We start from the raw sequence: 23,537 nt of genomic DNA, 5'->3' as shown, positions 1-23,537 counted from the left end.
AAACGTGCCCATTCTTGCTCTATTTTTGAACATGTGTGGCTATTTTAAACCTGGAAAGAAGCCTTAAGTAGTGAATTTTTTAGGCATTTCTAATTTTTCCTATAGATTCACTCCCTGGAGGTGGGATTCACAGCCAAACCCTACATGCCATGGTCAGAGGGCCTGAGGGTGCCTGGCCACCCTTGGGAGTCCTCCCTGGGCAGGTGTGACGTGTCCTGCGCTTGCGCCTGGGAGCTGGCTGCAATCCTTCCTAACCTTTAAACCTTACATGTAGCTAACAGACCTTTCTTCGCAGGTGCTTCTTCGGTTAGCCTGTGTGTCAGGAGGGCAGGGCAGAAGCGAGCATGTTTAACCATGAGGGGGGAGGGCTGCATGATCCCAGGCAAGAGGACGGGAAGTTTGTGCCGAGGTTCCATGGCGTGGGGGTGGTGGGGGCGGGTGTCCTAGGTGCCTTCTTTTAAAGAACTGAAAAGATGGCCTTATGGCCTGGCAGTGGTGGGAGTGGGCTGGGCTGGCCACAGGGCAAGGGGAGTCGGCAGTAGACGGGGCTGTAGGGTCTGGGGGACCTTCCCTCGACAGCAGTGGGGCAGGGTAGGTGCTGGGGCTGAGTCTCTGGGCCACTGTGTGGCTGGGCAGCAAGGAACGGGGGTCTTGGAGGGTCTCGGGTAGAGGGCCCTCTGGGGTGGAGCCCCTTGGCTCATCAGCCTGGGGCTAGGGGGCCAGGGTGGGCACCAGGCCTCCTCCATCTGGGCTCAGGGGCCACCTGGAAGCTTGCATGAAACGCAGGTTCTGGCCCAGATCAGACATGCTGAACCCCAGGGTGCATTTTAACAAGATCCCCAGATGACCCCCTAATGTCTCCAAGCTGGGTCTAAGGGTGGCAGTCCAGGGAGGGGCTCAGGGTCGAGGAGAGGAAGGTGCCAGGCCCTGCAGACCTCCAAGGGAGAGGGCAGATTGGGGGGGTGGTAGAGAGGCCCTCAGAGGCAGGTGCAGCCCGGCTGGCTTCTCAGACGTGCGGCCGTCCGCCCAGCCCGGGAGGCTCTGGCCTGGCTCTGCTGTCCCAAGGCTGCCTGAGCTGCAGCTGAGCTCCCAGTACTGGGAAGGAGGCAGGACTACGTACCAATGCAGCACTGCCCCTGCTGTGCGGACTGAGACCCTGAGCTGGGTGGGAGGCTGGGTGGACAGGCATGGGACCCAGGGGATCCCCAGGGGCCTCTGAGGAGTCCCAGCAAGTGGGGCTCAAAGGCTAGGCCCAGTGTGGCAGCCTCCTCCTCCCTCCTTCCCAGGTCCCACAGAGAGCCCTCCCATGCTGCAGTGACCAGCGGTGTTTAGGGCCCTGGTACAGGTGGGGGCGACCTACCGTGGCGAGGAGACCGGGTGAGGACTGGGGTGACTGGGGGTCCCTCGGAGTCGAGCTCTGGCCCCGGCAGGCGTGAGTGACACGTCCCTCTGTTCCCTGCACAGGACCTGTCTCCCCAGGACTCGGGACTCCTCATGGTGGCAGCGCCCGGCAATGGCCTCCCTCTGCGCCTCAGGTGGGCTCCCTGCCGGCCGCCCCAGCAGCAAGGGCGGGAGCATGGCGAGCAGGGCTGAGCGGGCGGGCAGGGCCTGGCCTGGGGCTCGGGGCTCCAAGCATGGGCGCAGTGCAAGGCGGTGGCCAACGCTGACGGTTTGAGGCTCTCTCTGACGTCATCCCTATTTCCAGCAGGACCCTGGCAGGCAGCTTTACCATTTCTTTTCTGATTACAGAAGCATTGGTCATCTTTGCAAAAGCGTTTGTCAAATTGACAATTCACACTTGCCTTCACAGCCAAGCTTCCGGCCTCGTTCTGTTCATGAAACAGGAATCATATCATCTGTGCAGCGTCAAATAGACTCTTCAATTTCCACATGGAGTCCTGTTTGTCACTCACTGATTTTGCAAAGAGGAGGAGTGGCCAGCCCTGGGGCGTGAGGATGGCTTCCTCTCACTCCTTGTCTTTGTCTTGCTGACAGTGGAGAAATCACACTTCCTTGTTGCCTTAACCTGCATTTCTTTCATTACTGGTGGGGTGGACCATCTTTTAATTTAATTCTTGGCCAGTCGGGCTTCCTCTTCTGGAAGCCTCTGACCATGGCCATAGCCTGGTGCGGGTTGGGGTGCGAGGCCTGTCCCCTCCGGCCCTCACCCCTTGTTCCGGGTGTGGTGACGGTTTCCTCAGCTGTCTGTGAGGTGGGCTTTTTGGGTGAATTGTGGTCTACGTTGCTAACTGTGAAGGTGTGTCCTTTAGGGCTGCCTCCGTTTCATGTTTAGAAACCCCCGTCTACCCTGAAACTGGGGTGATGAAACCCACATCTCCTCTGTGTTCAGTTTTCGTTTGGAATGTAGTCTGGTGGGAATAGGGCAGGATGCAGGTAAAGTTTGGTTCCAGATGCTCAGCGGTTACTTTGGCCCTGTCCGTCGTCCTGCACATCAGGTGTTCGTTTCAGGCTCTGGGTGTGGGTCTGCACCTGGTCCAGGCCCTGAGCCACCACTGGAACTCTGCGGTGTGTCCCGGCCCTGCAGGGGTGATTGGGCCTCTGCATTTGGTGCTTCCAGCTTCTTAGCTACTTTCACACCCTTTTCCTCCATGTGCATTTTAAAGACAGCAGTTATGGGCTGTCTGGAGCCTCTAGAGCAGCCCAGACTTTCCTGTGAGCTCCCAGCACCCACAAGGGTCCCAGGCTTGCAGGGGGCAGGAGGCCACAGGCTGGCAGGCAGGGCAAGGGGTGCCTCTCTGCCTCCTGGTCCCCGCAGATCGCCCAGACCCAGGGCTCGTGGGAGTGTCCTTGGGTGAGTGCCTCCCCAGGGAGGAAGAGCTCACCAGCAGGATCAGGGCCATGGAGGTCATGGAGCAGAGCCAGGTGCTGGAGACCATCCTAAACCAGCTGGTGGAACACAGCCAGGTAGGATCCCCAGCCACGCTCTGCACCCTCTGTGGCCCTGACATGTACAGAGCCATGGGGCTCCGGGGGGCCTCTGCAGGACTCACTGGGCAGCTGGTGGCCTTGTCAAGCCCGGAGCCCACGCCTCCCAAGCTCAGCTGCCATCACTCCCTTGTCACCTCGGCTCCCACAAGCCCCGGCCATCCCTAAAGCCCCTGACTTTCCCGCTGGAAGGTGCAGAAGTGGTGAGGAAGTCAGGACCGACACTGCTGCTCCCTGCGAGGAAAAGGGCAGGGGGCGGCCCAGGCTGCAGCCACTCTGAGCCCAGCCCTGGTCTGTCTGCTCTTGACCTGCAGGACGGGGAGGGCCTGAGGCGTCCCCAGGGCACCAGCTCAGCCTCCTAGGCTTGTTCTCACACCAGGCCTGGGAGTGGGGGCAGCAGGACCCCCTTGTTCTGTGTGCCCCAGCCCTCTTTGGGGGGCCATCCTCTAGACTTGCTAAGGGCCTGGACCACTGCCAGGGCTTGTTGAGGGTCCCGGGGTTCAGGGGCCGTCCTGGCCTCTTGCCTCTGCATTCCTGCTGCGGCCTGATTCACGTGCAGCCTCCGCATGCCCCTCACCTCTCAGGGCTGCTGTCAGCCTCCTTCACTCTGAGAGACGGGTTATTTGGGGGCCAGGGCCTGGTAGACAGGCAGGTGGAGACACCCCAGCAGGGCCTGAGTGCTTACAAAGGGGGACACACAGTAGGGCATTGGGGCCGACTGCCAATGAAGGTACAAGAGGTGGGAGAGAAAGTTGCCCAGGTGGCGGGGACAGGCTGTGCAAAGGCCCTGGGGCCAGCATGAGGCATCACAGAAGGGCGGGGGCACTCCCAGGCACGGGGGCAGGGCCAGGGCATCCAGGCTTGCAGGCTGCCCTGTTAAGGGTTTGGCCTCTGTCCTAAGGGTAAGGTCTTTGGGGTGGTGGGGTCTTAAGCAGAGGAGCCTGTGGCCAGAATCACACTTGAGCCTGAGCCCCCAGCTGTGGGTGGGGCCTCAACCCGACCCTTTCCTTCCACCCTTTGAGAGTAGACTGTGTTCTCCACCTGCCCATGGGTCCTGGTGGGACCATCTCTGTTCTGTCCACTCTGGGCCCTGTCCTCCTGTCCCTGGCAGGAGGGCTGGGGGCAGGGAGTCCATGCCCTGGGCACCTTGTTCTGCCATAGCTGGCCGGGAAGGAGCAGGCCTCAGACACCGAGGACAGTGGCATCCAGGAGCTTCTGCAGCTCTTGAGCCTAGACTCCCAGCAGGCTTCAGAGAAGGCTGGTGCCCAGGTGTGGAAGGGCTGTCAGTTCCCTCCCCTCCCAAAGTGACTGCAGGGACTCCAAGCCCTCTGGATCTGGAAGGTGGTGGATGGACATGAGACCTGCCGCTCTGTGGCTCCTGCACCCACGGGCAGGCTCTGGGGGTGCAGAGGGGAGGGGAGCAGGCAGCGTCCCTGCAGTGAGAGTTCTGCCCAGGGCGTCTGAGGTCCCCAGGCTGGGAGTCCAGCATGGCCAGGGCCCTGTGCACAGCATGGCCCGCGTGGCAGGCAGGGTGTACGGCAGCACTCAGCGGGCTGGGGTATGTGCTTGGGACCCACAAGGAGCAAGGCCCACCCAGTCCTGGGCTCTGTGTTCTAAGGCAGCTCCCCCGGCCCCAGACTCAGGCGCCAGTGTAGACACCTCCTGCAGGAGTCACCAGGCTTGAAGTCCTGGAGCAGCCCCCACGGAGCAGCAGGCAGCCATGGGGCGGGGGTAGGGGCCCAGCACCTGCTTCCCTCCAGCCTGGGTGGCTCTGCAGACGGACCTGTGAGTGCCGCTCAGAGAGGCAGGCTGGACCCAGCAGCAGCATCCCCTTTCCCTTGGCGTCCCGCCCAGAACTTCCCCTTCCACTTGTACAGGCTGGTCCTTCGAGACTGCGCTGGCGTGGAGCTGGTGCGGAAGCACATGGGCTGCCTCCTGGAGATGCCCCACCAGTCCTCCAACCAAAGGGAGGTGGGTGTTAGCACCCTGGGGACCCTCTGGTCAGCACAGCTCTGGCCCTGCCTCAGATGGGCCCCTGCTGATCCCGGGCCCCTGCTGATCCCAGGCCCCTGTCCCTCACTTCACGATCCTGTGTGATCCTCGAGGCACTGGAGTGTCTTGTCAGGTGCTGATGGGCAGGAACCGAGACCTGCCAGGCTGCGTGTGTCCTGGGCCCACCTTGGCAGAGGGGTCCCTGCTGGGGGGAATGGGACCCCCTGCCCAGTGCAAGCTGCGGCCCCCAGGGAGGGCTGGGAGTGTCTTCACTGTCTCTTGAGGACCAGCCCAAAGCACCCCCGGGTCCCCAGTCCGCAGGGCATTGCGATTGCTGTGGGATGGACGTCCACCTCGCATCTGGAGGAGGTGTGGGCCCTGCTGGAGGTTGGCCCTCCCGTCCTCAGACAGCCAGGTAGAGAGGCCCTGAGCATGAGGCTGATGCCAAACAGGGCGACGTGGCAGGGAGGGCGCAGGCCTTGGCCCCTGGGCCTGGGGAACGTCACCTGTGTCTCTGAGCCTCGGTCTGCTCATTGATGACACAAGGGATTTCTGGCCCCGCTGTCCTCCCTGAAGGGCTGGTGTGGGGGACCCAGGCTGGATCATGGCGAAAGCATCTCTGTACTTGCCTTGGCCACAGAGGCGAGTCTTGGGACCCCAAAGTTCGGTCTGGAGCTGCACTTGGGCTGAGGACCAGGGCCATGGGGCCTGCCCTGGCCCCAGGTGGTGTGTGTGGCTGGGCCTCAGTGTCCTCAGCTGCGCACCTGAGCCGGGAGGACATGTGGAGCAACTTCATTGTCTTGGCCGTCCCTACCCTGGGGCCTCGCTGGGAGAGAACAAGAGACACTGGAAGGAGGAGGTGCTGCCCGGGCATGCACGGGGTTCCCCGAGGGCCCACAAATAGAGGGGCTTCCTGGAGGAGGGGACTGGCACGAGTCCCGGGAACATGGTCCGACGCAGGGTGTGGACACGGCTGGCATTTGTCCTGACCCTGTGCGCAGGGCTTGAAGCTTTCTCCACCGTGGAAGGGGTGGGAGCTGTGTTGGTGTCAGGGGCGAGCCGAGAGCAGAGTCCCCCGAAGGCCCAGCTCCCACTGCCCGTCCCCCACAGCCAGGCCTTGATCTGCACAGGAGATGGGTCAGCAGCACCACCCTGCTGTGCTATGGACAGATGGCCCTGCATGCCAAGGAGAAGATCCTGCCCTGGGTGGACAACGTTGCCTCCAGGATGGTGTACTACTTCTCATCCAGCCCCCACGTGAGTCCCCCGCACAGCAGGGACCGAAAGGCAGAGAAAGGCAGCGGAGGCCGGGGGCCGCACACTCAGGGAGCAGCTTAGGAGACAGGCCCCTTGCAGTCACCTCACCCAATCCAGCACTGACTCCCGAGGCAGCGCTTACAAGGGGATGCAGGGCTCAGGTGGGGGATGAGACCAGGCGGAGCCCACCCCACGTGCTGCTCCCCGAGCCCCAGGTCACCCCAGCATCACCTGCCGCTCTGGGTCCGGCCGCCCTGGCTGTTGGGGCTGGGGTGAGGCCTAACAAGGCCAGGGCAGAAGGCAGAGGGTGGTGGGGCCCCCTCTCCGCACAGCCCTGGGCCTAGGGAGGTGGGCGTGCCCTTTGCTTTAAAAGGCAACAAGTCAAGCGCTCCCACATCCAAACACTGCATGGGAAACACCAAGAGCACGGCCGCTGCAGCTGCCTGGGCGCCTGGGGAGGGGTGCGGGGTGCACAGCGTGAGGCGTGGGTGGTAAGGCTCCTGTGTGGGAGGGGGATGTTTGTTGTGCATGTGTGTCCTATGTTGCGTGCAGAGACCCAGCCGTCTCTGCTCTCACACACGGCCACCCCGAGGCCTGTTTGGGAGCCACCACTCAGAGTGCACTGAAGGCCTTGCCCCCGCAGGTCCCTCTCATGACCCGTGAGGCATTGGGGCCACCCACCCCTGTCTCCCCAGATGGACCCTTCCCCTGTGGAAGGCCCTGGCTGCCAACCTCCAGCTGGCCCGCAAGGTGATCACCCTGCTCTACATGAAGCTGAAACTGCGGCCCCCCCAGGAGCTCATCAGCCCCAACCCCCAGGCCCAGCTCATCTCCCTGCTGGTGAGTGGCACCCGTGTCCCCGAGACACACTCACCCTGCGTCCCTACCCCAGTCCCCCTCTGCAATGGCATTGTCATTCAGGGGCCTACGAGATGCCAGGGTGACCCTTACCAGTGCCACCAAGTGCCCATAGCCCTGGGCCCTCCTCATGGCCTGGGGCTGCACCTGCAGGGGCCTGTTGTCACCTGTGGGGGGCTGTTGTCACCTGTGGAGGTGGGCACCATGTCACTGCTCACCGTGACTCCTGCCCCTGCACACACCAGGGATGTGCCAGGTGCCTGGTGTGTTCACTGAGGGGTCAACCTTGGCCACCGTCAGCAGCTGTCTCTCTGCATCCCGCCAGAGGGAAGGTCAAGCCCCCACTGTCATAACAAGCAGCCTCCAGAGCACACTGGGGACAGCAGCGGCCCAGGCTGCCCTCAGGGACTCATTCACTGGCAATCACGCACTGTGTGGCCCCGTGGTCATCAGAACAATAAGGCCCCAGGGCTGGGCCTGGTGGGAGGCCAAAGGGAGGCCTGGGGAGCGGCAGTGAGGGTGGACACAGGGCAAGGGCATCTGTGGCCAGGCTGGCACAAGGGGCAAGCTGGGCCTGACTGCACAGAGCCGGGGCCATGGCCAGCACCTGAGCCCCATGCAAGAGGCCACAGAAGGCTCCACTTAAGAGGGACTCCCTTAGCTCTGCCCTTTAAAAAGAGGACTCTGGCCAGGCGCAGTGGCTCACGCCTGTAATCCCATCACTTTGGGAGGCCAAGACAGGCAGATCACTTGAGGTCAGGGTTTTGAGACCAGCCTGGCCAACATAGTGAAACCCCGTCTCTACTAAAAATACAAAAATCAGTAGAGCGTGGTGGTACACGCCTGTAATCCCAGCTACTCTGGAGGCTGAGGCAGGAGAGTTGCTTGAACCAGGGAGGTAGAGGTTGCAGTGAGCTGAGATCACACCACTGTACTCCAGCCTGGGTGACAGGGCGAGACTATGTCTCAAAAAAAAGAAAAATAAAGAAAAATATAGAGGACTCTGGGGCGAGGGGAGGGGCCAGAGAAGGCTGCACTGCATCCAGGGACACCGCAGGCAGGGGGCTCATTGGCCACAGAACTGGTGAGAGAATCATTCAGAGGAAGTGCCAGGGGCAGGGCTCAGCAGCTGTTCTCAGCCCAACCCTGCAGAAAGGGTGTTGGGGGTCAGCCTTGTGAGCTGGTGGTGGACACCAGAAACCAGGGTCCAGGACAGGCCAGCAAGCCTGGGGTGGTCTCCAGCAAGAGCAGGTGGTCTGGGCAGAACACCCCAGACGCTGGGAAGGACACCTGGAGAGCTGGGGTGAGGGCCAGGCCAAAGGTCACCAGCTGGTGGAGCTGAGCCAGGGAGAGGGAGGCAGGTGGTGTGTGGGGCCAGGAGGGGCTTGGAGCTTGAGGCAAAGCCATGAGATGAGGACCCTGCACGGGCACTCCCGGTCCTGCCTCTCGCCGTGCCTGCCTCTCCTGGCCCTGCCACAGGGCTACTGCAGGAAGGGGAAGCAGGAGCCAGCCCAGGTCCAGCCAGAAATCACCAAGGGCTCTTGATGCTGACCCCAGGATGGGGCCAACCGTGGGCTGCAGGGGCCGGGGGCAGAGAGGCCGTGCGGCTCTGCTCCCAGCTCTTACTCTCGCGGGTCCTCATCTAGGCTTTGCTCTGTCGCCCGCTGTAGGCCCTGGACACCATTTATGAGCTGCTCTACACCCAGGAGGACAAGCCCACAGTCCACTGGGCCTTTGCAGGGGTCCTGCTGGGGCTGCTGACACAGCTGCATTACCTGTTTGAGCTGGGCATGGTGGAGGGCGTGGCGGAGTACCAGGAAGACATCCTGGACATGGAGCCCTGGACACCCCGCAGGTGGGACCTGTGCCCAGCCCCACGCCTTGCCCCTGCTCCTGGCTCCTCCCACACATTCGGGAGACCCTGGGATAAGGGCTGGGAACCCAGGAAAGAATGCACTCCGGTCCCACCTGTGGGCCTGTGGGGGAGCGGGGGACTGAGTCTCAATCTTGGCCAGGAGAGGACCCCAAGCGAGGGGAGCCCAGGGTTGACAGCACCCCTGGCCCCAGGTGGAGAGTGACCCCCTCCCTGACCTCGTCTCCCAGGACGTGCCTGGAAGCCCTGAAGGTCGTCTTCTGGACCAAGGGCTGCTGGGAGGTGTTCGCCTACCTCAAGCTGCGGAAGGGCTGGGAGCTCTTCCAGTGCTGGAAACCTATGCAGGGTGGGTGGCCCTCTTGGCCAGGTTAGCCCCATGCCTGGGGCCCAGACAGCACCCTGATGGGCTCCTGCCTGCACCCCACCTCACACTGGGACCCTGCACCCAGACTCAGTCTCCTGGGCCCGCTCCCTAAGTACCGAAGTCAGCCAGGAGTGTGGGGTGTCAGGAGTCCATCCCTCTGCCCCAGGCATGGCCCGAGAATGGGGCCTGCAGGAGCCCTGCACCTTCCCTTCCATCTGACAGGGCCATGGTCCCCTACAACTGTGAGGTCAAGGCGGTCTTGGGGCAGGCAGCCATTGCTCTTCAGAGCACCGAGGAGCGGGACAGCGTCGTGGCCATCCTCATCATCACAGAGGTCCACCTCCCCAGCCCAGTTCACCTCTGCTTCTCACTGCCCTCTGCCCCTTCAGAAGCATGTCAGAGAACCAGCCATCCATTCCCGTCCTCCAACATAAAGGCACCCACCGGGTGCAGTGGCTCATTCCTGGCATCCTAGCACCTCGGGAGGCTGAGGCAGGAGGATTGCTTGAGCCCAGGAGTGCGAGACCAGCCTGGGCAACAAAGGGAGACCTCTTCTCTACGTACATACACACACACATGCATGTGTACATACATGCACACACGCATACATACACAGCACATGCATGCACACATGCGTATACATACACATAGGTACATGCATAACTGGGCGTGGTGGTGCACGCCTATAGTCCCAGGTATTTGGGAGGCTGAGGTAGAAGGATGTCTTGAGCCCAGGAGGTCGAGGCTGCAGCGAGCTGTGATTGCACCACTGCACTCCAGCTTGGGGAGAGTAAGACCCTGTCTCAAAACACATTTTTTTATAAAGGCACGCTAACTCCTGCCTTCCACATGCAACACTTGATGGCTGTCTCGAGGGCCTCCTGTGTCTCACCCTCTGTCTCCCGTGGTGTACAGGCTGACTCTCCCTGGCTGCTGTCATTGACTGGTGGGCTAACTGTGCTGATCTCAGTTTCTCAACAGCCCGGAGGTCTCCCAGTGGGCGTCTCGGAAAACCGTGAACAACTTCCTGAGCATGGGCCTGAATCATCCCAGCCAGCTGGTGAGGGTCAGGAGCCTGAGGGGCCTCAGCAGTGCCTTAATGCACCCCAAGAAGGTGAGAGGAGACGGGAGTGCTCCAGGAGGGCACCCACTTCCATCCTAGGAAACGGGGAGGAGCTGGTGCCAGGAAGTCTCTGCTGCAGGCATCGCATTGGAAGGAATGGGTGGGGAGGGCAGCAGTGTTTGGGAGCCCCTGTGGCACTGCACAGGGCTGGGGAGCCCAGAATCTCTGAGCTGAGGTCAGCGCCTCCGGCCTCCTTTGCGGGTGGGAAGGAACCCCGCATCAGCAGCCTCCCACTGGGGCTGTGGTTCAGCTGGGGCTGAGGTCCCCAGGCTTTTCTTCCCTCTGTTAAGTGGTGTGAAAGGAGGCAGGGAGTGGCCTGCAGCCAACCTCTGCCAGGGGCTCAATCGTCCGCCCTCTGCCCACTCAGCCACTTCAGAGGCAGTCGCTATGCGCTGGGCTTGGGGCAGAGCAGATACATTCCCCACTCAGGAAGCTCAGAGCCCCCTGGGAATCAGAAGAGCCCTGTGGCCGGCAGCCAGGGAGCCGCCCCATTAGGGGAAGCTTGGGGAAGTTTCCTGCACAGAGCAGCTGGGCAGGGGTCCCACGTGTAGGGCCAGGTCTCCCCGCAGGTGGTCTTGCTCCAGGTCCAGCTGATGGGGCTGCTGGACAGCTTCCTGAAGACTGAGCCCGAGGACCTCACAGGCCTGATGGAGATCCTGGGTGACATTCTTCACCGCCTGGGCACCCAGGGCCTCGGTGCCATCAGCGTCATGATGGCCCAGCACCTGCTGCCCTTGGTCGAGGACGTGAGCAGGCCTGCCATGGGCAGGGGTGGTGGGTGGGCCCCAGGGGACCTCAGGCCCTCTGACCCCTGGCTGTCCCGGCTGAGGGGGACCCCTGCCAGCAGGGTGCTTAAATGGCCTCACCCAAGCCCACCCCTGGAAGAAGCCAGAGCTGCCCACGGGCTGGTGGAGCTGCCGGGCGAGGACCATGGGAGGGAAGGGGGTTTCTGCCCGCGGGGCTCATGCACTCCCACTGTAGAGGAACGCTGGGGGCCAAGGGATAGGTCCTCCAGCTGGGAGGGCGAGTGGGCTGGGGTTTAGAAAGACCCCTGGGTCGACCAGGTGAGAATGGATGGGGACTTTGAATCACTTAGGGGAGGTGAGGAGTGCAGGGTGGAGGGCTGACCCAGGGCAGGGCAGCTGCATGAGGGTGTCGTGAGCCCACAGCCGCCAGGGACTGACTGGACCCTGGGGAGTTGGAGGGCCGGGAGCGGCCCCAGGTGGGGTCTGAGAGCCGGGAGTGGCCCCAGGTAGGGTCCCAGGTGGGAGATAGTTGCTGCCTTCCGGAGCTGGATCCCGTGTGGGGCAGGGAGCTGCTGCCTTTCGCAGAGGTGTCTGGGGGCTGTCGGATACAGACTGAGGAGGATGTAACCAAATGGGAAAGTGAGGGATGCAGCCATATGTTCAGAAGGAAGAGAAGGCTGAGGTCACCAGGATACTTGTTGGGGGAGGCTGACCCCTATCCAGACCTCAGAAGCTGCAGTTAAAAAGTTACCTGGAGGCCGAGGTCCACTGCATTCTCTGAGCAGATGGGCAAGGGCAGGAAGGTGAGGCTGAGGCCTAGCGGGGGAGCAGAAAGTCCCCCTTGTTCTGTTGATATCCATGGATTTGTCAAGCACCTGCTGTGAGTGGGGCCCTCATTGTGGGTGTGGAAAGGAGGCGGCCCCTCCCCATGAGGAGCACAGTACTATGGGGACAGATGTGTGAGCCCCAGAGTACCAGGCAGGGGCCCTGGCAGATGGACTCAGGAGGCTAAGGGCTTTGGAGAATGAAAACCAGATGGACCAAGTCCTCCCAGCTCAGCAAGGGGCAGGGAAGCCAGGCCTGGGATGGGGACTGCGTGGATTGCCAGGGCCACCTGTGGGCTGGGTGGCAAAACAGCAGAAATGCATTGTCTCTGAGTTCTGAAGCTCATGAGTTCGCGATGAGGCGTCAACAGGGCTACCTCCTCCTGGGGCCTCTCTCCTTGGCTTGCGGACGGGTGCCCTCTCCCCGAGTCCTCACAAGGCCGTCCCTCTGTGTGCCTGTACCCTACTCTCTTCCTCTTAGAAGGACACCAGGAATCCTGGACTGCGGCCCACCTTAATGATCTCATTTTACCTTAGTCACTTCTTTTTGTTTTGTTTGTTTGTTTGTTTTTGTTTTTGAGACAGGATGTCCCTCTGTTGCCCAGGCTGGAGTGCAGTGGCGCAATCTCAGCTCACTGTAACCTCCACCTCCTAAGTTCAAGTGATTCTCCTGCCTCAGCTTCCCGAGTAGCTGGGACTACTTGCACACCAAGCCCAGCTAATTTTTTTGTGTTTTTAGTGTTTCACCATGTTGGCCAGGCTGGTCTCGAACTCCTGACCTTGAGTGATCCGCCCACCTCAGCCTCCCAAAGTGCTGGGATTACAGGCAAGAGTCACTGCACCTGGCCCTTAATCACCTCTTTAAAGACCCTGTCTCCAATCACAGTGGCCCCCGATAGCTCAGTTCCAGGGTTCAGAGCTTCAGCATGTGAATCTGGTGGCCAGAGTTCAGCCCACAGCAGGGGTTTTTCTAAGGGAGGCCTGAGCCTGGGCTGGTGGCTGTGGGTGCTGGTGGCCTCTGGCCCTCCCTTGCACCCCTGTCCCTCATCCCTCTGGTCCTCGAGAGAGGCCCTCGGGTCAAGAAGGAGGCCTGGGCAGCCAGGGTGACCACTGGCCTCCCTGGGAGCTTGGTGAGAGTTACCGCAGGACACCCATGGGGACTGAGGTGGACACAGTGCTGTCAGACCTCCTCTCCCTCTGGCAGGCCAGCCCCTCCGGGGCACCAGCAGACTGTGCGGCCAGGGACAGCAGGGCTGCGGAGGCCCCTGGGCTCTTCGAGGGAGGGGCATGGTGATGGGGAGGGGAGCCCGGACCTCCTGGGGTGACCTATCTTTCTGCTGTGCACCCACAGAAGACCACGCTCACCTTCCTACGCTGAGCCATCTTGCTGAAGCGGAAGTTCCGGAAGGAGCTGTTTAGCAAGTTGGCATGGGGCCACAGGCTGGGCGCCGAGAACCACATTTTTATCTTCATGGTAAGATGTGGGCGCCCTCTCGGAGGAGGACAAGCGGGGCCAGGGAGGAGGGGAGGGCTGTGTGCGGTTGCCCAGCACCCTGAGGGGTGTCCATGTGAGGATGGAGCAGCTGCTGGAGGGTCCGGGCGGCAGTGGACACGGTGAGGGGAGCCTTGCGGGCCTCAAGTCCCAGGGCCGACCTGAGGAGGGCCCTCAGCCCCTAGAAGCCCACCCCACAGATCCTGCTGGCCCAGCTCTCTGGCCAGGAGCACACCCCTGCAAGAGGCAGATGAAGGGGGCGGGGGCGAGCGAGAAACACCACTCCCCTGTTTTCCAGCTGCCAATTTCATCTCTGACTGCATCTCTCATTCTGTCCTACAAGTGGGGAAAACAGACCCCCGGCCTTGGCCAGGCTGCCAGGGCAGCAGCGCCAGGCTCTTCAGCAGGGCCAAGGTCGCCAGTGGGCCCAGCAGGCCTGATCTCCACCCGTACTGATCTCAGCCCACACGGGGTCCCTGCATTTGGGCACTGGGTGCCCAGCGCTGGCTGCGGGCCCTGCCTCACTCCAGCTGCTGGCAGAATTCCTCTGCCTGAAAACCCCACCAGGCTCCCAAAGGGCTGGGGAGGAGCCCGAAAGCTGAAAGGTTTCCTGTTGTCTGCATCCTTGACCCTGCCGCCTCCTTCCTGCCAGGGTTTGAAGGGAAGAGCCACTACCAGCTTGAATGCAGAGGGAGAGGAAATCCCAGGGGGAAGGTCCTGAGGCTGCCCCCCAACTGCAGTGGCAGAGGTGAGCAGTTAGAGGTCAAAGGAGGCCATGTTTCTCTGGACAGGAGCAATCAGGGAAAACTTCCTGGAAGAAGCAGAGGCTGGGGCTGGATGTGGGGAAAGGAACAAACATTTCCTGAGAGGGTGGGGATGTAATTCTCAAAGGTAGGGGAGGGCGGGAATCTGATGGAGCAAAGGTTCCCAGGAAGAGATACATCTGGCTTCTACAGGGAACCCTGAAAGCCAGAGAGCCAGAGCTGGCCGGGCAGGGCCCCTCGGCTGCAAGCCACCTGCGCAGATCCTCCCCGCGTCCTATATGAGGTTGTCTGTGTTTCACTTGGAAAAGTGTGAGAATTCTTTCTATGCCGTTCCTGCATCCTTAGCCAACTATTGGCATTGCAAATATTTTTGCACAGTGACCTGTCCTTTGACCTTGTTTATGGTGTTTCTGGTTGGACGGAAGTTTTTGGTTTTAATGGAGCCAAATGTATTCCTTTTCTGTGCTTCGTGCTTTGGGGCCTTTTTTTCTTTTTGAGACAGTGTCTCTCTCTCTCTGCCCAGGCTGGAGTGCAGTGGCCATCCACAGGCACAATCCTAGCTCACTGCACCCTGGAACTCCTGGGCTCAAGCAATCCTCTTGCCTCAGCCTCCCGAGTAGCTGGGACCCCAGGGGCCTGCCACAACACCCAGATAATTTTTGTACTTTTTGTGGAGACAGAGTTTTGCAATGTTGGCCAGGCTGGTCTCGAACTCCTGAGCTCAGGTGACCCTCCTGCCTTGGCCTCCCAAAGTGCTGGGATTAGAAGCGTGAGCCACTGCACCCGGGTGGGATCTTGTTGAGAACTTCCTCCTTGCTCTGTGGAATTGTATTGGTACTGGGAGGTGTCCAGGAGATAGATCAGCAGTGACAGGCTCGGGGCTGGGAGGGGCTGTGCCTTATGATGTGAGTGTGGCGCCGAGCTCCCTGACATGGGAATGGGATGCTGGTTGCCCACTGCATGCCATGGTGCCGTCTGTCCTCAGGCTGTCACCCCTGGCTGGTGACAGTGACAGCGGAAACATTGACCTTGGGAGCCCAAGAGCTGCTGCACTTGACCGCTAGAGCACAATCAGGACTTGAGTATTCTGTATCCCTCGGAGCCTGTTCCTGAGATGGGCACCACACAGCAGTTTGAGCAGGGAAGTGTAATATGAAGAATGATTCAGTGCCACGGGGAATGGGAGTTAGAAGGGGCTGGCTAGTAAGAAGTACAGAGAGCTCTGAAGAATGCAGCAGCGGCAGGAATGACACGTCTATAGAACACTAGCGGGTGTCCTGCCATGTAAGGCGGAAGAGCCCCTCCCTGGGCTGAGGCAAGTGCTCACAGCAGACCTCCCCTCCTGGGCAGCTCGCTCCTGCAGCAGAGAAGCCAGTGGGTGCAGAGACTGCTGGACACGAGCCCTCTGAGATGCAGGAGAAGTTGCTCACAGGGAGGTGTCGCACGGGTGATACTCCCTTACCAAACCGCCCCGGGGGTTCGGGCACAGCTGCCCCTTCCCGTGGCTGGCCCCATGCTCCACAGGAGCTGAGCGCTGGGGCAGTGGCCTCCCTGCAGGAGCCTGGCCCTGGAGATCCTACAGCCCACGGAGCAGAGGGGCTCCCTCCTTCGGTGCGTCTCACTGCTGTCTTCTGACCACACCCCAGGACCCACCAGCAGAGGAAGGTATTCAGGGGGCTCACATCCATTTTCACACACCAGGAAAAACAGCTGAACTTGGAGAGGTAAAAAAAGCCAAAAAACAAAAAGCACATGAGGGGCACAAAGATCTCACATGTTTGCTGTGAGTGACCTTCTCACCCCATTCCGGTCCATGTGTCTTAACCCCGGTTTCACATTTTCTGTCTCTTTTATGTCTCGATGGTGCATTGATTTATCTCCCAGTTCATTCTTTCTCTATCCCTCATTGGCTGTTAAAACATCCGCCGACTTTGTCACAACAGCGATGGTCTTCGCTTTGTCTCCTGCACTCTGTTCCAGGTGCGCCTGTTCCTTCTCTGCAGTGTCTTGCCTTCTTCTTAGGAGTTCCTGTTTCCCACAAATGTAACCATTTAAAAAACACCTTGTCATCTCCTCTGCATGGCTCACCTCTGGGACATTCTCAGGGTCTGGCCTTGCCGTTGGCTGTGCTTTCTGTCTCTTGCTCATGGTGGCTTCTCACCTGCTCACGTTGCTGCTGCGTATCGTGGGCTTCTCCTGTGTATCATGGGCTTCTCCTGCGTATCGTGGGCTTCTCCTGCATGTCGTGGGCTTCTCCTGCGTGTCATGGGCCTCTCCTGCGTGTCGTCGGCTTCTCCTGCATATCGTGGGCTTCTCCTGCATGTCGTCGGTTTCTCCTGCGTGTCGTCGGCTTCTCCTGCATGTCATTGGCTTCTCCTGTGTATTGTGGGCTTCTCCTGCGTATCATGGGCTTCTCCTGCATATCGTGGGCTTCTCCTGCATGTCATCGGCTTCTCCTGCATATCGTGGGCCTCTCCTGCCTGTCGTGGGCTTCTCCTGCATGTCGTCAGCTTCTCCTGCATGTCGTGGGCTTCTCCTGCATATCATGGGCCTCTCCTGCATGTCGTGGGCTTCTCCTGCGTGTCGTCGGCTTCTCCTGCATATCATGGGCTTCTCCTGCGTGTCGTTGGCTTCTCCTGCGTGTCGTGGGTTTCTCCTGCGTGTCGTCGGCTTCTCCTGCGTGTCGTCGGCTTCTCCTGTGTATCATGGGCTTCTCCTGCGTGTCGTGGGCTTCTCCTGCGTATCTTGGGCTTCTCCTGCATGTCGTCGGCTTCTCCTGCATATCTTGGGCCTCTCCTGCATATCATGGGCTTCTCCTGCATATCGTGGGCCTCTCCTGCATGTCATCAGCTTCTCCTGCGTGTTGTGGGCTTCTCCTGCGCATCATGGGCTTCTCCTGCGTATCGTGGGCTTCTCCTGCATATCATGGGCCTCTCCTGCATGTCGTCGGCTTCTCCTGCGTATCATGGGCTTCTCCTGTGTGTGTGGTGGGCTTCTGCATATCGTGGGCTTCTCCTGCATATCATGGGCTTCTCCTGCGTGTCGTTGGTTTCTCCTGTGTGTCGTTGGCTTCTCCTGTGTGTCGTCGGCTTCTCCTGCATATCGTGGGCCTCTCCTGCATATCATGGGCCTCTCCTGCATGTCGTCGGCTTCTCCTGCGTATCGTGGGCTTCTCCTGTGTGTGTGGTGGGCTTCTGCATATCGTGGGCTTCTCCTGCATATCATGGGCTTCTCCTGCATGTTGTCGGCTTCTCCTGCATGTCGTGGGCTTCTCCTGTGTGTGGTGGGCTTCTCCTGCGTATTGTGGGCTTCTCCTGTGTGTGGTGGGCTTCTGCATGTCGTGGGCTTCTCCTGCATATCGTGGGCTTCTCCTGTGTGTCATCGGCTTCTCCTGCGTGTCGTGGGCTTCTCCTGCATATCATGGGCTTCTCTTGCATATCGTGGGCTTCTTCGTGAAGCCCTGGCATTGGGCTCAAGGCTATGTGTGCCAGGGTCTTTGTGTTTGCTGCTGATACGGAATGAATTTCTGCATTAACTCCCCAGCTCTGGGGTCCCCACTAAATGCTGGCGGTGGAAACTGAAACCCTAAACCCTCCTGTGGGGCTTGACCATGGTTATCACCCCTGAAGAAAACATCTTTTTCTGCAGGCTGAGACAGACACAAACCCCCTAGCAATAACAAACCAGCAGTGGAATCAAGAATAGCAACCATGGAAGCCAGAAGAGGGTGGAACGAGGTTTCACAACTGTGGCTGATCCTGTCTCCTGGGCCAAAAGCCTGGGAGGTGGGCAGACTGCTAGAGATGGCAATGAGAAGGCAGCTTGAGGCCAGCTTCCTAAGTTCTGTTCATGCTGCACCTACCCCTGCCACACACACATTCCCTTGGGGTAGTCAGTGTCTGCCTCTTCATTGAAGAGCTTGGGGGCAGTAGCCCAGGTCCTAGTGCAGGGGTCCTTGGGTGACACTGGGGACTAATGCAAGATGTTAATAATAGAGGAGACTCTGGGGGCAGGGTGAAGGTGTGTGTATGAAACATGATAAAAATAAAATTTAAAAAATGAAAAGTAAAAATGCAAGAAGGACCACATGGAAATTTTAGAATTGAAAAGTACAATAACTGAAATAAGAAAAATTCCCTGGATCGTCTCAATAGCGTACAATGGAGATAAGAGGAGAAGAGTGACCTTGAAGATCAATAGAAATTATCCAATCTGAACAACAGAGAGAAAAGTGATGGACCAAAAATGAAGGGAACCTTAGGGCCCACGACACCAACAGTCAGATTATCAGACTTCCAGAAGAAGAGGAGACAGTGGATGGTATAGGAAGATTCAATAAATAACAGCTCAAATTGCTTGAATCTTGGCAAAGACAGAAACTTACAGATTCAGATATGAACACAAAACAGGATAAACAAAGAGAAATCCATGTTGATGAAGAAACATCCTAATCAAGCTGCTGAAAGACAAGAACATCTGAGGCCAGCCAGAACAAAAATGCTGTAGACATATGGAAGAGCAAGGATTTGAAAGACAATGGATTTCTCACCAGAAACCATGGAAGTCGGGGAGCAATGGAGCAAAATTTTTTAAATGCTGAAGAAAAAGGAATGGTCAATATGAATTCTATATCTAGTGAAAACATTCTTTGGGAATTTAGCTGGAATAAAGGCATCCTCAGATGAAGGAGGACTTGGATGTAATTCTTACACCTTATATAAAAGCTAGCTCAGACTTTATCTAAACATAAAATGCAAACCTATCACACTTTTAATATCAGAGAAAAATCCCTGTGACCTGGCAAGAGGTCTTACATATGACACCAAAAGCTCAATCAATGGGAAGACAACTTTGTTCTGCAAAAGATATTCTTGAAAGAATTAGAAGAACAGCCATGACAATAGCCAGCAAGGAATTCTCGAACCATTGTTGGTGAGAATGCAAAACAGAGCAGCTGCTCTGGAAAATTGTTTGTCATTTTCTTACAAAGTTAAAGATACACTCACCTTATGCCCTAGCAGTTCCACTCCTAGGCATTTGCCCTAGAGACATGAAGATGTTTCTACACAAACTCAAGCATGAATGTTTATATCAGCTTTTTTCATAGTTGTCAAAAACTGGATATAACTCAAATGTCCTTCTGTGAGTGAATAGATAAACTATAGTACACCCATACAATGGAATTCTACTCAAGAATTGGAAAGAGATGGGCTGGCCATGGTGGCTCATGCCCGGAATCCCAGCACTTTGGGAGGCCAAGGCAGGAGGACCGCTTGAGCCCAGGGATTTGAGACCAGCCTAGGCAACATAGCAAGACCCCATCTCAAAACAAAATAAAACAGGCCAGGCACAGTGGCTCATCCCTATGATCCCACACTTTAGGAGGCTGAGGTGGGAGGATTGCTTGGGCCCAGGAGTTTGAGATGAGCTTGGGCAATATAATGAGAACTTGTCTCTACAAAAACCTTAAAAAATTAGTTGGGCAGGGTGGTGTGTGTCTATAGTCCCAGATACTAGGGAGGCTGCAGTGGGAGGATCACTTGAGCCTGGGAGAGTGAGGCTGCAGTGGTCTGTGGTTGCGCCACTGCACTCCAGCCTGGGCAACAGAGTGAGACCCCGGCTCAGAAAAAGGAAGGATGGGTGCACAGCACCGGGATGGATCTGAGCAGCGTGAATGCTGAGGGGTGGGGGCCATCCCAAGGGGCTGCACCCTGCGTGATTCCATGGACATGGCATTCTGGAAACAGGAAAAGTGCGGTGCAGTCATTTGCTGCATCCCCATCTATTAGCCAGTGATGGACCATGTGCTGCATCCACTCCTGTTAGACGGTGATGGACCATGTGCTGCGTCCCCTCCTGTTAGCTGGTGATGGACCATGTGCTGTATCCTCGCCTGTTTGCCAGTGATGGACCATGTGCTGCATCCCCGCCTGTTAGCCAGTGATGGACCATGTGCTGCATCCCCGCCTATTAACCGGTGATGGACCATGTGCTGCATCCCCGCCTGTTAACTGGTGATGGACCATGTGCTGCATCCCCGCCTGTTAGCCAGTGATGGACCATGTGCTGCATCCGCTCCTGTTAGACAGTGATGGACCATGTGCTGCGTCCCTTCCTGTTAGCTGGTGATGGACCATGTGCTGTATCCTCGCCTGTTTGCCAGTGATGGACCATGTGCTGCATCCCCGCCTGTTAGCCAGTGATGGACCATGTGCTGCATCCCCGCCTATTAACCGGTGATGGACCATGTGCTGCATCCCTGCCTATTAACCGGTGATGGACCATGTGCTGCATCCCCTCCTGTTAGCCAGTAATGGACCATGTGCTGCATCCCCTCCTGTTAGCCAGTGATGGACCATGTGCTGCGTCCCCTCCTGTTAGCCAGTGATGGACCATGTGCTGCATCCCCTCCTGTTAACCGGTGATGGACCATGTGCTGCATCCCCTCCTGTTAGCCAGTGATGGACCATGTGCTGCATCCCCGCCTATTAACCGGTGATGGACCATGTGCTGCATCCCCTCCTGTTAGCCAGTGATGGACCATGTGCTGCATCCCCTCCTGTTAGTGATGGACCATGTGCTGCATCCCCGCCTGTTAGCCAGTGATGGACCATGTGCTGCATCCCCGCCTGTTAGTGATGGACCATGAGCTGCATCCCCACCTGTTAGCCAGTAATGGACCATGTGCTGCATTCCCGCCTGTTAGCCAGTGATGGACCATGAGCTGCATCCTCGCCTGTTAGCCAGTGATGGACCATGTGCTGCATCCCCGCCTGTTAGCCAGTGATGGACCATGTGCTGCATCCCCGCCTGTTAGCCAGTGATGGACCATGTGCTGCATCCCCGCCTGTTAGCCAGTGATGGACCATGTGCTGCATCCCCGCCTGTTAGCCAGTGATGGACCATGTGCTGCATACCCTCCTGTTAGCCAATGATGGACCATGTGCTGCGTCCCCTCCTGTTAGTGATGGACCATGAGCTGCATCCCCGCCTGTTAGCCAGTAATGGACCATGTGCTGCATCCCCGCCTGTTAGCCAGTGATGGACCATGTGCTGCGTCCCCTCCTGTTAGCCAGTGATGGACCATGTGCTGCATCCCCGCCTGTTAGTGATGGACCATGAGCTGCATCCCCGCCTGTTAGCCAGTAATGGACCATGTGCTGCATCCCCGCCTGTTAGCCAGTGATGGACCATGTGCTGCATCCCCTCCTGTTAGTGATGGACCATGTGCTGCGTCCCCGCCTGTTAGATGGTGATGGACCATGTGCTGCATCCCCTCCTGTTAGACGGTGATGGACCATGTGCTGCGTCCCCGCCTGTTAGCCAGTGATGGACCCCATGTACAATGGTGGCCTTGTAAGATTGCAATGGAGATGAAAGTGTCTGTCATCTAGTGACATCCTAGCGGCCATTTCTCCCATGTGTGGTGACACTGGCGTAAGCAACCCTACTGCACTGCCAGTCTATAAAATCAAGCTCATATAGTTATGCACATTACATAATACTTAATAATAAATGACTCTGTTACTGGCTTATGTGTTTACTGTACAATACTTTTGTTATTTTAGAGTATACCCTTTCTACTTATATAGAAAAAGGTGAACTGCAAAACAGCCCCAGGCAGGGCTTTCAGGAGGGGTCCAGAAGAAGGTATTGCTGCCCTAGGAGGGGACAGCTCCATACATGCCACCGCCCCTGAGGACCTTCTAATGGGACAAGACGTGAAGGCGGAAGACAGTGAGGTGGGTGATTGTGACCCTGTGCAGGCCTAGGCTACTGTGTGTGTGTGTGTGTGTGTATATATATGTTAGCTTTTAAGAAAAAAGTTTAAAAAGTAAAAAAAAATAAATAAATTTTAAAATAGAATGAAGCTTATAGGATAGGGATATAATAAAGGAAAATATTTTTGTACAGCTGTACTTGTTTGTGTTTTAAGGTAAATGTTATTACAAGAGAGTCAAAAAGTTATGAAAATTAAAAGGTTCATAAAGTAAAAACATTACAGTAAGATATCAAAGAATGAAAATATTTTTAAACAGATTTGGTGAAGCCTACACGTACAGTGTTTATAAAGTCTCCAGCAGTGCACAGGGACATCCGAGGGCGTCCCATTCACTCGCCACTCAGGCACTGGCTCACCCAGAGTAACTGCTCGTCCTGCCAGCTCCATGCATGCTAAGTGCCCTATACAGATGGGCCATTTCTAATCTTTTATACTGTATTTTTACTGTACCTTTTCTATGTTTAGCTACACAAATTCTGTGGGGTTTTTTTTTTTTTTTTGAGATTGGGTCTCACTATGTTGCCCAAGCTGGTCTTGAACTCCTAAGCTCCAGGGATCCTCCCAAGTAGCTGAGACTATAGGTGCAACTACTGCACCCCGTTTGGACACACAGTTTCCTGCCATTGTGTTACAGTTGCCCACAGTATTCAGTACAGTCACAGGCTGACCAGGTTTGTAGCCCAGGGGCAACAGGCTGTACCATACAGGCTGGGCGCATCGGCTCTGCCTTCTAGACCTGTGTGAGTAGACTCTGTGATGTTCACGCGAGGAGGACATCACATAAGGACACATTTCTCAGAATGCATCCTCGTCGTGAAGCGACATACGATTGTACAGGGACGAAGCATAGAGCAGTGGCTGCCCCGGGGGGAGGATGGGGAAAGGATTTTACTAGAAAGGGACCTCCTGAGGGGATGCTGGGGGCTGGTGGCACTGTCCCACTCATGGTGACAGTTGCATGGGTCTGACAGAGTTGTGCACCGTCTGTTCGTGGCAGTGGCTGAGTGTTTACATACGGCCTAACCCATCCAACACTTAAAATGGACGAATCTTAGTATATTTAAGTTGTACCTCCAAGTTAAACCAAAAATGCAAAATTCAAGTGCGCACACCGATATTACTCGCCATGCACAGAGAATGTCATTACATATGGCTCCGTCTCATCTGTGGTATATGTTTGGCTGTATTTTATATTAAAATAAACCACGTCAAGAAAAAAATGAAAAAGAACAGACAAGATGCACACATAGCAACCCAGATGGATCTTTTTAAAAAAAGTGCTTATGGAAAAAAGTTAAAAACAGATTGAGATCTATAACAATATAGTTTAAATAAATAGACACTTTGATAATTGTGCCATGGTTATATAAGATGTTAATGACGGGGGAAACTTGTAGGTGGTAGAGCAGTGCTTTCTATACAATCTTTGCAACTTTCTGTTGCCTAAAATTATTATCAAATAAAAAGAACACTTGAAAAAAAAAAAGACATATTAACTAAATTAGAGTAGCTGCT

General features: G+C 57.2%; 1 pseudogene, besides 3 other annotated features; it reads left to right on the top strand.

Moving 5' to 3' along the window:
* MROH4P (maestro heat like repeat family member 4, pseudogene) lies at positions 5,258 to 13,460 on the top strand (annotated as a pseudogene).
* Positions 5,395 to 5,940: an enhancer, noted in NCBI's record as "H3K4me1 hESC enhancer chr8:143656141-143656686 (GRCh37/hg19 assembly coordinates)". NCBI's record gives its function as "activates a minimal SCP1, AML or CMV promoter by ChIP-STARR-seq in naive and primed H9 embryonic stem cells {active_cell/tissue: H9 hESC(naive and primed)}" and the evidence as "EXISTENCE:reporter gene assay evidence [ECO:0000049][PMID:30033119]".
* Positions 8,347 to 9,010: an enhancer, noted in NCBI's record as "H3K4me1 hESC enhancer chr8:143653071-143653734 (GRCh37/hg19 assembly coordinates)". NCBI's record gives its function as "activates a minimal SCP1, AML or CMV promoter by ChIP-STARR-seq in naive H9 embryonic stem cells {active_cell/tissue: H9 hESC(naive)}" and the evidence as "EXISTENCE:reporter gene assay evidence [ECO:0000049][PMID:30033119]".
* Positions 13,973 to 14,473: an enhancer, noted in NCBI's record as "H3K4me1 hESC enhancer chr8:143647608-143648108 (GRCh37/hg19 assembly coordinates)". NCBI's record gives its function as "activates a minimal SCP1, AML or CMV promoter by ChIP-STARR-seq in naive H9 embryonic stem cells {active_cell/tissue: H9 hESC(naive)}" and the evidence as "EXISTENCE:reporter gene assay evidence [ECO:0000049][PMID:30033119]".

Source organism: Homo sapiens, chromosome 8 (genome assembly GCF_000001405.40).
Source record: "Homo sapiens chromosome 8, GRCh38.p14 Primary Assembly".
In the NCBI taxonomy this organism is placed as follows: domain Eukaryota; kingdom Metazoa; phylum Chordata; class Mammalia; order Primates; family Hominidae; genus Homo; species Homo sapiens.
The sequence above is the reverse complement of the archived record's forward strand: the minus strand, read 5'-3'. Positions and strand labels throughout refer to the sequence as shown.